The sequence below is a fragment of the Homo sapiens genome, chromosome 9, assembly GCF_000001405.40.
Source record: "Homo sapiens chromosome 9, GRCh38.p14 Primary Assembly".
Taxonomy (NCBI): Eukaryota; Metazoa; Chordata; class Mammalia; order Primates; family Hominidae; genus Homo; species Homo sapiens.
Window position 1 is genome coordinate 117,485,730 of NC_000009.12, and position 17,041 is coordinate 117,502,770.

At 39.5% G+C, this 17,041-nt stretch overlaps 1 annotated feature.

Annotated features, from left to right (window-relative positions):
* Window positions 2,054-2,213: an enhancer, noted in NCBI's record as "active region_28886". NCBI's record gives its function as "activates an Ori minimal core promoter by ATAC-STARR-seq in GM12878 lymphoblastoid cells {active_cell/tissue: GM12878}" and the evidence as "EXISTENCE:reporter gene assay evidence [ECO:0000049][PMID:35858748]".

Consider the following 17,041-nt stretch of genomic DNA (forward strand, 5'->3'; position numbering starts at 1 on the left):
TTTCATGGGGTCCATGTCTTCTCCTCTGCTTCAGCTGGATTGGCTCTCCTGTATCTATTTCACTTATTAAAGTCATAAGAATTTAATGTAATTATTGGGTCTTTATTATGTGCCAGGCATTGCACTAAACACTCAATAAGTGTGAAGTCATTTAACTTTATAACAATCTTATGAAATATTTACAATTACGATTGCTATTTTACACTTTATGAAATGAAGGCTTAATGCCAAGGTAAATCACTTGCCCTGAGTTAGAAGGCTAATAAGCAGCTTTGAACTAGAAATCAGACCTGTCTATCTGCAAAGCCCATTTTCTTAACTGCAACGCTACTATGGTTCCCCATGCTGGGTTTCCGTGTAAGCTTTTATTTTCAAAAAGTGCTCCATAGTTATTTTAAAAGGAATAAAATAAAAGTCTAAAAGTGACTGATTAGATGTTCTGAGATCCCTCCCAGCTCTAAATTTCTAAATTTTATGATTTATAGAAGAAAAAGCAGAGGCTGCGTTACAAAAACTGATGGTGAGGGACAATGGATGGGGTGTGAGTTAATAATAGCAGCTAATATCACAGCACTTAATAGGTCAAGTGATGCTCTAAACCCTTCATACACATTAACTTATTTAACCCTTGCACCAACCTTCTGTGGTCAGTGCTATCATTATTCCCATTTCTAGATAAGGAAATACAACACAAGAGGTTATAACTTTCAAGGTCACACAAATAGAGGGTAGCAGGCCAGGTTCCAGAGCCTGTATTCCTTGCTACTGTGCTCTGCTGAGATGACTTAGTCTGGGAGAAAACGATTTTCCTTAATATTGGCATTTAGTTTTCAACATCACACCAATGCAAATTTATGTAAATAGACACGCAGATCAGCTGCTATCCTGGCATTGGTGCCAGCTTCCCCTCAGGGACATTGATGCAACAAAATTTGGCCATTGTCACTGATTTGAGCTATCACAGTGGTAGACATTTCAATAATTCCCCACATTTCTTAGGCTTGGAAGACATAAATGAATGTATATTATATAGCTATGGGGCTATACATGCTGAACTTCTGCATCTTTTTCAGAGAAGTATCTCTAGAAAATATCCAATTGTGGATAGTTGGTATGCATCAAAAATGAGATAATGATACCTTGCTTCTGCCTATGACTGCATTTTCATACCCATTGCTGCATTTGGGCCTTGCCGCAGTCCTACAAAAAAGGAAAAGCAAAGGTGATCACTCCTCATACGTGGGAGACAGCAGGACAGAGGACGAAGGGGCTTGCTTAGGATTCTGCTGAAATTTGTTGGCTTGGTTTATCTTCCTATGACTCCTACCCTCTTCACTATTGATTTTTCCATACACTGCCATACTGCTTTCTTTGCTGGATGCAGAAAAGCTAGTGTACAGTTTACCCCATAGAAGTAAAGGGAAAGGAAACTGCCTCACCTGTCCCTTTATCTGCATTCACAGAAGATCAGCATTCAAGTACAATAGAGAGAAACTAGGTTTTGCTGAGTAACTACTATGTCTGGCAGAGTGTCTTGCGTTTTGGATAGGCTAACCATATAATTTATTGCCTTTTGAGAATGAAAGGGGTGCCGTTCACAATTACATCAGGACCACAAGCAAAAACTGAGACCATCCTGGGGAAATCAGGACGTGTGGTCACCCTTGCTGAAAAGCTAATATTCATTTCATATTCACCATAGTCCTCTAATGTAGGTGACTTTTCTCTTTGTTCTGAGTCTCTGAAAGGTAAATCATGCCCAGGGTCACATAGCAGATCTGTCTGTTCGATTCTAAAACCCTGGGTTAAGGCACACATCAGAGACGGGGACTCTTGACACTCCAGCCACACAAGAGCTGACCCTAGCGGTTGCTTGGCTGTCAAGCCTTTTCCTCCCCATCACATTCCCAGCCATCGTCCTTGGCCCGGGGAGCTTGGGTGGGGTGTGATGACTGTGCTGCCCCAGCAGAGGGCAGTGTTGCCATGCCTGCCAAGGCGGAGGGCTACAGGAAACGGGAGGGAGCCTGGGCTACGCAGGCCTGGTGGCCGGTGCCGCGTCCCTAAAACAGCCAGCCTTATAGGGCTGCCTCCAAACCAGCTGCTTTTCTGGCTCCCATCCCCTCAAGCCTCACCGTGGATAAACGTACTGTCCCCCTCACCTGTCTATTGGCTCCCATGATACAACACCTGAACAAATTGAAGAGCTCTGTGACACCTGGGGTGGAAAAAGACCCGGGGAGGGTTTCCAGATTGGAAACAGGAACTGTTGCCATTTTCTTGTTTGCTCAGAATTACTCCAGAGCTGGGAGTGCTGTTGACATATGTGTTACCACTTAATCTTTCATAAGAAATCCTTTTCATGGGGGAGCTGAGCTCTGGATCCGCGCCAGTTTAGATAATTACATTCCCCCAGAAGACTGAAGCTGTGACGGCTGCATTCTTTTTCTGCTAAGAGTTAGGAGTTTCAAGGGTACAGGTTGGGCAAGGGGGCTGGGAGTAGGGGTAGGTGACATCGTGGTCCTTAGGAAAACGATAACCGGGGTTTGGTGAGGAAAAGTTAACTTCAAAGTGTCACCCAGTAACAGTTTTTTTTTTTTTTCCTTCCCTTGGACTTCATTCAGTGTGAAATTCATTTGTAGTTTTTGTCTGTAACTAGAATTCAATTTTTGCTCTTTTAAAAGAAACCTGATTTACAGAGGGTGTGAAACAAAGCAGAAAATGATAAGAGGAGGGAAAAATAACAATTCAGATGGGAAAAAAAAAAGAGAAAGAAAAAAGTCCTTTTAACAATTTCTCTGATCTAAAGTGGTTGGGACAGCATTTTTATATTAAGTTCAGCATTTTGTCAGAAGGGGATGAGAGTGCCCTGTGATCCTCGAATGAAGTATTGCTGGTGATTTTATACCCTCCTGCTGGCATAGATCTTAATCAACCAGAAAACTTCAAAATGACAAACAAACAAAAGACAGCTTTGCTCTCTGAGGTTCATTAGCTCAGGCCAAGGTTGAGATGCATCAGGAGGAGAGGCACCAGAAATAGGCGAGCTTGAGAAGTCACTTTGTGGGTAATTCCACCACCCACTTCCTCCTGCCACCCCCCACCCAGGCCAGCTCTGCCTCCTCCAGTGACCAGAGGCTGGGTCACCGGAGTTGATGGTGAGAGGAGTGGAGGCCAATGGTGCAGCTGATGGGGCAGGAAGGAGGAAGGGACTCTCTGGTGTGCCGCCGCATTCAGAGCCTAAAGTTATTTGCCTCTGCTTTCAAGGATATCTGCTGGCATCATGAGAATCAGAGCAAATCCAGACCAAGCTTTATCTCCTCCTTCCCAGCCCAGTTCCTCTTCTTCTGCTCGTTTATTATGTTTAGAAGGCCCCCTGTCTCCTGGAGATCTGAATTGAAACCTCAGAGAGGCCGGACACAGTGGCTGATGCCTGTAATCCCAGCACTGGGAGGCTGAGGCAGGTGGATCACTTGAGGTCAGGAGTTCGAGACCAGCCTGGCCACCATGGTGAAACTCTGTCTCTACTAAAACTACAAAAATTAGCTGGGCATGGTAGTGCGTGCTTGTAATACCAGCTACTCAGGAGGCTGAGGCACGAGAATTGCTTGAACCCGGGAGGCGGAGTTTGCAGTGAGCTGAGATCCAGTGCGAGAACACAGTGAGACTCTATCTCAAAAAAAAAAAAAAAAAAAACCTCAGAGAAACATTCCTCCCCCTTTTCTGTGATCAGTTTTCACGTCCTATCAAAGCATCATCTAAATCTGTCTCTTTCTTGCACATCTCATCCTCTTTCATAGCTCCAGGTCTGGCCCTTGATATCTTCCTCCTCACTAGTTTCCCAGCTGTTCTCCCTACTTTCCTACTTACAACCACCAAATTAAACCTCATTAAACCGATTTCTGATAGTATAAATTCCTCCAAAACCCTTCACCAGCTCACTACCATGTGCAGGATCAAAGTCCTAGCTCCTTAGCTTGGTATTTGCGGCCCTTCATGATCTAACTCTTCCTTGTCTTTCAAGCTTCTGTTAGCATCCTAGGACTCTCCAATCCCTGCACTCCAGCAAAAAAGAGCCCCCAGCTACTCCTCAGCACCTTTTCCTCCATAGCTACTGTGTTTTCTCAGCTCATTGCACAGATTCTTCTAGTTCCCTTGGGTGATTCTCTTCAAATTCCCCCTACTTGTCATGCTTCAGCTTAAAGACCTCCTTCTCCTGACCAATATACTTCCTATCCCCCACACCTCTGCCCCAAACAAAAGTAAATCTTGTTTTTGGACTTTTACACTTGACTTGTAACACATATTTTGTAATGACCTAATATTTACTATTTTTATCCTAAGGTCTTTTCCCTCCCCTCTTAAAGATGCATTTTGTGAAGATGGGGAATCATCTTCATTCCACACACAGCTTAATTTGGCAGTTTTTGCATGGTAAGCTTTAAATGGCAATTTGCTGAACAGATTAATGAATACATTTAAGAATTCATGAATGAAAGAGTGAATCAATGCTTCATAGATGCATGAATAAATGACTTTGTGCATGGATGAATAAATGAATTCCTGTACTTATGCATTCAAATATATCTTGGGAGGCTACTATGCAAATTAATCTGGGAATAGATGAATGCTTGTATGCATAAATGAATAAAAACATGCATGTATGAATCTGCAAATGAATGACTGGATAGTTGGATTCCTGATTCTAGGGAATGTCTTTCACAGAGAAGTTGGCTATGATACTATCTTGTAGTATGTAAGATACTTATATACTACTGGTGGAATGTACTGTCATCAAGATTTCTTGACTAAGAGTTGGTTTTACTAATTAACAGACTTGAATATGTTCATATATTTAACAAAACAAATAATTTTTTCTCTTTACTGGCCCTTTGCGTGAGGCTGGTCCATCTTTGCACCATATTATTGAAATTGAGCATAAACTATAAAACTAATTCTAGGTGGCTTCTCAAGTCTTCTCCCTCTACACCTTGACTGGGCTTCCTAGTCAACTCTCACATCTGCATTATTTCTTGATTCCAGCATCCACTAGTTTTTAATGAGGGTGGCCTCTGAGAACTGCAGCCAAAGCACCCCACAGGGAATGATATTCTGATCACATTTGTACAAAAGTGCTTTGGTTATTTCCCTGAGAACGCAATAAATAATCAGTTCTTAAGTGTTTCCAAAAGAATGGCATTTTACCTATCTGCATCACATAGCGGCCAAAGTCTATGGCTTTTACTTTAATCCACAATAGAGATTATCTGCACTTTAAGTCCTTGTTAGAGTATTTGATTGTGAATCGAATGAGAGTCAGCACTTCTCAGAGGCTCGTTTACCCTATCTGATGTTTGATAGAGAAAGTCTAATAGACATGCTAACTATCCATTCATCTCCAGTTTTTACCTGAAAGGCAATACCTGAGTCACATTATCTAAGTCCATAGCAGAAATGCTTTCCCTGAGCTACGACTTAATATTTTTCTCTTTGCCTTTATAGAGGGTTGATAGAAAAACTGCCCAGTAGAAAAAAGCATGTATTTTTTAGAAACTGCGAATAAAGATTACTTCCACTATTTAATGCAATGGACCTCAAATTCTCTATATATGTGATACAATCTTAAAATTAAATAATGGGTTGTACCATGAAGCTAAGTAAGGAGTGTGTGATCTATGTTCTACCGTGATGTCCATGCCCAAATAAAAATATATGGCAGAATCAATGACTGATGTGGGCTATGTCTGACATAAATAAAACAGAGAGACTTAGGACCTGGGAACAGGCCTGGGTCACAAGGTATTTGTTGGACAGAATGAGAACTCAGAGGTCACTAATGCTTATTTGCCTGTTTACCTTACTTATCACCAGGTATCAAGGGCGGGAGTCCAAAGAGCATTCTACAATAGCCGTCTGCAAACTGTGGCCTATGAGCTGGCTGCCTGTATTATAAACACAATGGGACATTACTGGAACACGGCTATAAATTCATTTGTTTATGTATTGTTTGTGGCTGTTTTCACACTTCAATGACAGAGTTGAGTAGGTGCTATAGTGATCTTATGGCCTGCAAACCTCAAATATTTGCTATTTGGCCCTTTAAGTTTAACCTCAGCATCATGCAATATACCATGTAACAAACCTGCATGTGTACTCTCGAATCCAAAATAAAAGTTGGAAAGATAAGTTTGTCATTTCCGTATTGAGCCAGAGTTAAAAGACTTTAGTTAGAATCAAAGTTTGTTTGTGTTTAATAGTCTCTGTACCATCTGAGACTCAGTACCTTCAGCTGTAAAGCAGGATTCATAGTTTTGTCTATATTATAGGTTTTTGCAAGAATAAGAAAATATATGTATAAATGACTAGCATGGTGCCATAAAGAGCCACCATGCTACTTTCAAGTGAAGCCTTAGGGACCAGGACAAATGACATTTACTCCAGGTCCGGATACAGATAGGACCTCTTCCAAACAAAAGCCAGTGTTTCACTTTCTTAGCAGGAATGCCACCCCGAGAAAAATTTTCTCCAAAAGCCATGGCTTAGAGGAAGATGACTTTCCTGCCAGGGAGAAAAGGGTACCAACCGTGCTTTCCCTGTCAGCCTCCTTATTGCACAGGAACTAGACAGAGATAATCTCAGGTAAGAAAGGCACAATGCATTTCTCCCAGGGCCTCATATGTCAGGCATGATTTTAATTTCAGATAACTTCCAAACCAGATAAGAATTCTGTTGGTAGTGTGAGCAGATCTCCTGGTGCTGCCTGTATCCATGGCCAGCACCCTCCTTCCCCTACTCCAGCTCTTAACTAGGGGGGAACTCAGTGAGATGTAATTGTATGCAACCCTGCCTTCCCCTCTTGCCCTCTGACACTGGATTCACTAATGAGCATCACCCCTTGTGACCCACGTTTTCTCTAGTCTCTGAGTTAGGCCATTGTTCTTCATCCCTATGAGCAACTGATGGCAGGGATTGGTTCCCCATTGTATCCCCAGTGCCTAGTACAAGTATGTCCAACCCACTTAAACTGTTCAAATGAACCCGGGCCATCCATTGACACAAATGCAGAGGACAGAACCACAGCATTCGGTATATTTCAGAGACCCAGTAAATTCAATTCAAATTGAATTGAATTAAATTGGGTTTGGCTCTTTCTGGGGTGGTGGTGGTGATGATGATGATGATAGCAGAAGTGGTGGTGGTGGAATGATGGCAGCTACAATGAAGAGATCAGGGCAAGGTTTGGAAAAAATTAAAATATTTTAAGCCAGGAGTTGGGTAAATGCTCGGAGTCTATCCTGCTGCTTGTATACCTGGATGGCTCTTCACTGAGGTGACTGTATACACAAGGGAAATGATACATACGGGAGACAAAGCTCTTCTTTATTAATAATTTAACCAACACCCAATAACCTGTAATGATGAATTTTGGTAAAAGCCTACTTGGAATATGAGGCTTAGACATCTAAGCTGGTCTACTTAATCCTTTTCTGTAAATGAAAAGAGGCTGCATCTGCAAAGTAGGTTGTAACCTGAGTTACTCAGTTGTAGGCACAAGTGAAACGATCTAGGTATACAGACTTGCTTATCTTTCTCCAAGGAGGCAAAATGTACCCAGATATGCTTACCCCATAAGAGCAGGAAGTAACCCTGCCCACTGGTGAACATGGCAAATTCAATCTCTTGGAGGAACGACCAATCAAACTAGCTGCTAAAGGGACGGGCGAAAATAGAAGCATAAGATGTAGTAGAAATTTTTCTTTAAGATTTATCATGCTAGAATTATTAGCTAAGCATTTACAATCATATTTTTTCTTTAATCCTTACAACAATCCTAGGAGATAAAATTATTCTCCAGGTGAGGAGTTAGGCTCAGAGTAATTAAGTGACTTGCCTGAGGTTACACAATAAATGGTTGAGCTAGATTTTCAATCCCATGTCTACCTGACTTCAAATCAATGTCCCTTCTACTACACGCTTGCTATTCAAAATGCAATTCATGGACCAGCTGCTCAACCTCACCTGAAAGCATTTTAGGAGTGCAAGTGCCTGAGGCCCACCCCAAACTTACTGAATCAGGATCTGCATTTCAACGATAGCTGCAGGTGAATTGTCAATATATGGAAGTTAGAGGAGCACTCTGATACACAACACTGCCTAGCTCTTACTACTCTCTTTTCCCAGAGAGCAAAACCACTCACTGTGGTCCCACCATCAGTAGAAGGCTGACCTGGATTTGGGAACATCCCCAAGTGGCTAAATTAATGCTACCTGCTGGGATGGTACCCTAAGGCCTGCTAAACCATGTCTGAGCTTTCTGAGGCCACTGGGCACTTTGCATTGACTGGTCAGTTGTCCTTACTGAAGCCAATGTCCCCAAGCCTTAACTTCCTTTACTGTTGTTTAATCTGAGGCCATGAAATCTTAGCAGATGTGGGGCAGTTTCTGTCCAAATATGTCAATGTGTGGCCACCCTTGGCCATCTGAGGAGTAAATAATTTGTTATATTTATCCTTGAGGAAGAATGTACTGAAATGTATATAGAATTCTATGGAAATGAAGTTCCAGGATAACCTAAAAAGAAAGATTATTGTGAATTTAGGGACATTTATTTTCCTTTTTCAGTTTTGATATAGTTTTCTTATGTCTGTATGTAATTTCCTATGGCAGATTAAGATCCATAATGTTCCAAGATACTGTGATTCATGCATAAGAGAGATTTGAAATGAAATTTTATTGTTGACACTTACTGCTCAGGCACTTGATATTCTCTCACTATATCTTCAAAACAAGACTATGAGGATAGGAGAATTAGCTCCATTTTATAAATGAAGACAGTAAGCTCTGTCTCTGGTCACACAAACAAAGCCAGTTTTCAAGTGTATGCTGGCACCATTTCCAAGCTACATTTGTTTGAATTGCATGTTATTGGTAAAGGATGCTTAGAAATAAATAAGACACAGGATCCTAAAATGACCATTCCACTTGGAGATTTGAGGTGGGGGAAATTAATTTAACATTAAAGCCTTTAAAAGGAAACATGGTTATATGAAGGAGTAGAAAGCCAATGCTGAAATTTTGAATGAATTTAAGACAAACAGAAGGCACAACAAAAACATGGAGATTATGGATGGTTAACTCTGCATTTGTGTCCTGAAGCCCCGGGGATTTGCTTTCACTTTTACTGTTATTACAGTAGCAACAGCAGATGCAGCAGGAGCAACAGTAGGAACTGTGCTGAAAGCTACTGTGTTACTTATCTATTGCTGCATAACAAATCACCCGAAATTCAGTGGCTTAAAACAATACATATTTATTATTTCACTGTTTCTGTGGGTCATGAATCAGGACGTGAATCCTATATTTGGCAAAACTGTCCTTTAAAAACTGAGGGAGAAATTAAAACATTCCCAGATAAAAGCAAAACTGAGGGAGCTTGTGACCACTAGCCTGTCTCACAAGAAATGCTCACGAGAGTCCTGCAGGTTGAAACAAAACAACACTAAACAGTAACTTGAAGCCATATTCGGAAATAAAGATTCTAATAAAGGTAAATGAAGCTAGTATTATTGCAACAATGGCTTGTAACTTTACTTTTTATTTTCTACATGATTGAAGAGACCAATACCTTAAAAAAAGTTACTGGTCTAAAAACTAGTATGATTGTAGCTTTGGTTTGGAATTTCATATTTTATTTTCTGCATAATTTAAGAGACTAATGCATGTAAGAGGATTCTAAGTTTATGTTTAAAGATGTAATTTTTTGACATCAACTAAAAGGGGTGGGTATAGAGCTGTAAAGTAGCAGAGTTTTTGTGCGTTATTGAAGGAAAATTTCCAAAGTTAACACATTAAAATGTTATAACTTTAGGATGTTAAAGTAATCCCCGTGGTAACCACAGGACATGACTGGATGAGTCCTGTTCTTCAAGGTCTCAAACAGGCTGTGATCATGCTCTTGGCTGGGTCTGTAGTCTCATTTCAAGGATTGTCTGAAGAAGGATTCCCTTCTAGGATCACTTAGGGGTTAATATGATTTAGTTATTCATAGGCTATTAAACTAAAGGCTTCACTTCCTCACTAGCCACCCTCAGTTCCTTTTTTCTTTTTTAGCTTTAAGTTCAGAGATATATGTGCAGGTTTGTTACATAGGTAAGCTTGTGTCAAGGGGGTTTGTTGTACAGATTATTTCATCACTTAGGTATTAGGCCTAGTACCCATTAGTTATTTTTCATGATCTTCTCCCTCCTTCAACCCTTCACCCTCTAATAGGCCCCATTGTGTGTTGTTCCTCTCTATGTCTCCATGTGTTCTCATCATTTAGATCCCTCTTGTAAACAAGAACATGCAGTATTTGGTTTTCTGTTCCTGTGGTTAGTTTGCTAGCTCCACTGAGGTCCCTGAGAAGAACATGATCTCATTCTTTTTTTATGGCTGCATAGTATTCCATAGAATATATGTACCACATTTTCTTTATCCAGTCTATCACTGATGGGCATTTAGGTTGATTCCATGTCTTTGCTCTTGTGAATAGTGTTGGAATAAACATACACTTGCAAGTGTCTTTATAACAGAATTATTTATCTTCCTTTGAGTACATAGCCAGTATTGGGATTACTAGGTCAAATGGTATTTGTCTTTAGGTCTTTAAGGAATCACCAATCTTCCACAATGGTTGAATTAACTAACAATAGTATGTAAGCATTCCTTTTCCTCTACAATCTCACTAGCATCTGTTATTTTTTGACTTTCTAGCATAACCGTTCTGACTGGTGTGAGATGGTATCTCACTGTGGTTTTGTGTATCTGTAACGATCAGTGGTGTTGAGTTTTTCATAGAATTATTGGCTGCATGTGTGTCTTCTTTTGAAAAGTATCTTTTTATGTCTTTTGCCAACTTTTTTGTGGGGCTTAATTTAAAATTTTCCCAATTTAAATTTGTTTAAGTTCCTTATGGATGCTGGATATTAGACCTTTGTTGGATGCATAGTTAGCAAAAATGTTCTTCCATTATGTAGGTTATCTGTTTACTCTGTTGATAGTTTCTTCTGCTGTGGAGAATTTCTTTAGTTTGTTTTGACACTTTGAATGTATCACATACTGCCTTCTGGCCTCTAAAGTTTCTTATGAGAAATCTGCTGACAATCTTAGGAAGAATCCCTTGTACATGCTCATTTGCTTCTCTCTTGCTGCTTTCAAGATTCCCTCTTCGTTAAACACAGTTTTGACAGTCCATCATAATGTGTTTCATTGCACATCTTTGAGTTCATTGGGCTAGTTGGGAGTTTATATTTATGTTTTAAATCAAATTTAGAAAGTTTTCAGCCATTATTTCTTCAAGTGTTCTCTCTTCCCTTTTCTCTCTCTTCTTCTTTTGGAACACCTACCATGCACATATTGGTCTATTTAATGGTTTCCCACATGTCCCTTAGGCACTGTTCATTTCTCTTCAATCTTTTTTTTCTTTCAGACTCAATAATTCCCATTGTCCTATGTTCAAGCTCACAGATTATTTCTTCTGCTAGTTAAATATTCCTTTGAATTTCTCTTTTCATTTCAGTTACGTTCTTTTCAGTTCCTGAATTTCTTTTTGGTTCCTTTTGAGGTTTTCTTTTTATTGACATTTCTATGTTGTTCATACGTTGTTTTCTTGACTTTCTTCACATCTTTAATTCTTTGAGCATCTCCAAGACAGTTGTTTTAAAGTCTTTGTCTAGTAGATCTTCTATAAAGTCTTTTTCAGGGACAATTTTGTTGATTTTTTTTTAATGGGCCATATTTCCCTATTTCTTTATATGCCCTGTGATTTCTTGTTAAAAACTGGACATTTTAGTAAAATAATGTGGTATCTCTGGAAGCCAGATTCTCTTCCTTCCAAGGGTTTACTGTTTTTTTTTTTGTTATTGTTTTTGACTGTTGTATGGCGTGTTAAGGCCAAGATTGACATGTAAAATTAAGGTCTTCTCAGTTCTTTTCTGTGGCTGCGCCTTTCCCATGCATAGTCACCTCTGATTTTCGCTGTATATGCAGTTTCTTTTGAATGTTATAGTCTTTAATGTCTGGCTCCCAAAAAGGAAAAAAGAGAAAAATGAAGGGAAGTAAAAATAAGAACACTGTAGCCCTTGGCAGTCACTTCAGACAGAGGGTGAGGGGCTTGCAACAATGGGAGGAGGTGCATAAACCATGACTGCTGGCCTCACTGCACCTCTGTGATCAGAAACAGCAATAAGTGATTAGAGCACAGATCCCTGCTATTTGTAGGAAAGGGTCATTTTTGGCCAGTCTGGCTCCTTCAAGCTGTGTGTAAGCTGCCCCAGAATCATATGCACAGCTGCCTGCCACTGGGTTGAAGGTGGGGGATCGGTAGTGGCTACTGTGTTAAAAGCTGAAATTGACCAAATTAACCACAATTTACCACAGAAACCTTCCCCTTGGAATCTGCAAGCCTTTAATGGACTGAGTCTTAAAATAGTTACATCAGACTGATTCTGCCAGTGCTTTAGGTGGGGAGACAGATTTCTGGTGCTTCCTACTCTTCCAACTTCCCAGAATCACTTGAATACTTTTGATGATATGAAGATCAAGTCAGACAAATGTCACGAATTAGAGCATGCTGAAATACTGCAAAGTGCACTATCCTTCTCTTTCCGATGTTTATATCTTTACCATAACTTAAATTTCCAACAGTAACTAGCAATCCACCTACACCCAGTGCTGTCCATTGGGTTGTAGGGACAAGGTCAAGTAAATTTTTCTTAAACATAAATAGATTGAACTAATTCAGATGAGATCAGATTCAGATTAAGACAGAAATGAAAGTCTTATTTAATAAAACAAAGAATAGAGTAGAATGGTTAGAGAGAAGTTATAAAGGGCCACAGCCATGTTAATGAATGCATGGGAGATCAGGGAAAACCAATGCCCTAATGCTGAGGAGAGGAGATGATGTTATAGGCTGATTTTATGTATATAAAACACTGTACTGTTTCAAACCAGCCAAGAGAAATATAGCACACTAGACTCCAGCACATTTTAAAGAGTATTATTTTCAGTGAGCATCCATTAAAAACAAAATCACTCCACTGTATAAAGCATGCTTTGTTACAGTGGAAGGTGTATGGTGACAGTTGATTCTATGGGTAGAAAATGACCTGTGGATGATGTCAACGTGGCTCAGGCCACTTCACAGGCACAGAATGGTGTGGATTTTATGGACAATGATTGACATCACGGAAGTCTGACTGGAAGTATGCATGTACCACCCCCCCCGGCCCCAGATATATTTTGTCTGATAGGGGTGTTTAAGAATTAACTTGCAATTATGCAAATATATGTATATTATACGTTAAGTTTAAAAACAATTTTAAGGGAGCACAATTCCAAAAATATAGTTGCCTTAAACAGAGCAAGTCCAAGATATTCCTTGTAAACTATCTACTGTCTTTTCTCGTCTTCTCTCCTTCCCACCTCTGCTCATTACTTCTTTAAATCTTTGGAGGAAATGCTTCTTAATATCAATATCTATGTGGATTTAAGGACTCAGGAAACTCCCTTAAATTTCATAAAATGTGTACATGGAAGGAAATGCGTTTTTTTCAAGACTAAGTATTTAATATTCACAGATAAATACATAAGAGCATCGGCTCTTCCTCCACCCAGGTGTTAAAAATCATTATGTCAATTGAATGGACCAATGTACTGTGAAAAGAGTCACAGGTTTTAAGAGTAACACACACTTAGATTTAAATTCTAACTTTATAAATTTCTTGAGCAAATTACTAAGTGTTTTAAGGCCTCACACCCCTTATTTAAAAAAAATGAGATAATATTTGCCCTGCAAGTTTATTATGTAAATAAGATAAATGAAATAAATGTTTTGGAGTATCTAATTCAGTACTGGAAAATAATAGGTATCAAAACGACAGCAGATATTATAGTTATGATTATTCTTGCAAATACTATTTCCAGCAGCAAGGAGTCAGGTCATGTCTCCTGATTGCCCTTCAAAAGATTCTGTCTATCATAAGCTCTGCTATTTATTTATTGATACAACCATTCACCTATCCATCCACCCACAGGTACATTTAGGCATTTCTTTATTTCTCTGCTGCTTGCCTACTTTGTTGAGAAGGCCTTCAGTTTCCATCTCAGTTTAGCCAGCTAGCTTAACCTAAACTGTTTCTGACAAAGAAAAACAAGACTGAGTTTATTAAAAAAAAAAAAAAATCTTCTTTGATCTTTAATCACGCCTGAAGATAATTCAATCTGGTCTTCATTATTACAGTGGCTTATAGCCAGCAGCTGTAGCCCCTGACTCAGATAAATGCTTGCCCTGTATTATTACAATAAAACCAACTCCATAGAATGAAATTTTTCCCCCTTCCTTGATGATATCATCACAGAGAATTAATGTTCTGGTTTTTTTCATTACTGCTTCATTGTATGAAATACGGACTAAATCAAATCTCTGGTCAGATAGTTTCATCTACAATATTGAGAAGTGGGTGAAAAAAAATGCAACCCACTGAGCAACAGGTGAAAGTTATAGTGTGGAATAATCAGTGGAGAATTCTTGATCGGTGCCAGGCAAGGGTGTCCACAAACAGGAGGCACAGAGCGTGCTCCGTGGAAGGTTTCTTCTTAAACCAAGACGTTCTCTGCCCTCTGTTTCAGTCAGTGGCATTTCCAATCTCACTAGCATGGAAGTTCAAATTTCACCTTAACAATGTTCACATTTTGGAGCATTGTTGAACAGAGTTTGGCTAGGAGAGCGATGACAATACCTGAACCCTGTTTTACACCATCTATTCACCCTTCCTGCAAGAATCCTAAAGGGCATAAACATGTAAAGACAGCAAATGAGAAATCAAACTCCAGTTTATTTTTGGCAGGGTCTATAAACCCAAATTTCATTTCTTTGCTAAACTGGACTGGATTACTTCGATTAGGACCAAGAACTAAGTGATGGATGATTAGCCTGGGTGACATAATGAGTCCCCATCTCTAGAAAGTAAAAAAAAAAAAAAAAAAAAAAAAAAAAAAAAAAAGCTGGGCATGGTTGTGCACACCTGTAATCTCAGATACTGGAGAGGATGATGAGGGAGGATAGCTTGAGCTTAGGAGGTTGAGACTGCCAATAGTCATGATCTTGCCACTACATTCCAGGCTGGGTGACAGAGGAAGACACTGTCTCTGAATGAATGCGTGAATAATGGGTGGGAAAGGAGGAAAGGAAGCAATTTTTTCCATTAAGTCCAAATCTAAACCTCACTTTTAGACGGTTTTTAACCTTGACTGGACACTGGAATCACCTGGTGTATCAGTCCATTTTCACATTGCTCTAAAGAAATACTTGACTGGATAATTTATACAGGAAAGAGGTTTAATTAACTTACAGTTCCACGTGGCTGGGGAGGCCTCAGAAAACTTACAATCACAGCAGAAGGTAAAGGGGAAGCAAGCACCTTCTTCACAAGGCAGGTAAATAAGTGAGAGGGGGGAAGCACCACACACTTATCAACCAGCCACATCTCTCGAGAATACACTCACTATCACGAGAATAGCATGGGGGAACCACCCCCATGATCCAATCACCTCCCACCCGGTCTCTCCCTCCACACCTGGGGATCATGGGGATTACAATTGGAGATGAGATTTTGGTGGAAACACAGAGCTAAACCATATCACCTGGGAAGCTTTAAAAACACTGTTGTCTGCGGTCCGCCCCTCAAAATTTTGAATTAATGGCTTTGAAATGTGGATTAGTAAATTAGGATTTTAAAAAAAACTTTTATTTTTGTTTCAGAGGTACATGTGCAGGTTGGTTCTATAGATAAACTTTGTGTTGCAGGGGTTTTGGTATACATATTATTTCATCATCCATGTAAAAAGCATAATATCGAATAGGCCATTTTTCTGTCCTTTCTTTCCTCCCACCCTCCACCCTCAGGTCCCAATGTCTATTGTTCCTTTCTTTGTGTCCCTGTATACTCAATGATTAGTTCCCATTTATAAGTGAGAACATGCAATATTTGGTTTTCTGTTCCTGGGCTAGTTCACTTAGATAATGGCCTCTAACTGTATCCATGTTCCTGCAAAGGACGTTATCTTGTAGTGTTCAATGGTGTACATGTACACATTTTCTTTATTCAGTCTACGACCAGTGGACGTTTAGGTTGATTCCAAGTCTTTGCTATTGTGAATAGTGGTGCAATGAATATACGTAAGCATGTGTCTTATGGGAGAATGATTTATATTCCTTTGGGGATACATGTAATCGTGAGATTGCTGTGTCAAGTGGTAGTTCTGTTTTAAGTTCTTTGAGAAATTACCTAACTGCTTTCTGCAGTGGCTGAACTAATTTACATTTCCAGCAGCAGCATATAAGCATTCCTTTTTCTCTGCAGCCCCACCAGCATCAGTTATTTTCTGACTTTTTAATATTAATAATAGCGCTTCTGACTGGTATCTCATTGTGGTTTGATCTGCATTTCTCTAATGATTGGTGGCATTGAGTATTTTTTCATATACTTGTCTGCATGTATGTCTTCTTTTGAAATGTGTCTGTTCATGTTCTTTGCCCACTTTTTAATGGGGTTCTTTGTTTTTGCTTGTTAGGTTCCTTATAGATTCTGGATATTAGGCCTTTGTCAGATGCATAGTTTGCAAATATTTTCTCCTATTCTGTGGGTTGTATATTTACTCTGATGATAGTTTCATTTGCTCTGCAGAGCTCTTTAGTTTAATTAGGTTCCATTTGTCAATTTGATGTTTTTGTTTTTGTTTTTTGCAATTGCTTTTGGCATCTTCATCAACAAATTTTCACCAGGGCTTATGTCTAGAATGGTATGAATGGTATTTCCCAGTTTTTGTAGTTTTAGGTTCTACATTTAAGTCTTTAATCCATTTTGGGTTGATTTTTCTACATGATGTAAGGAAGGGGTCCAGTTTAAATCTTCTGCAGATGGCTAGCCTGTCATTTATTGTTTCAGGGCACTATTTATTGAACAGGGAGTTTTTTTTACTATGGCTTGTTTTTTGTTGACTT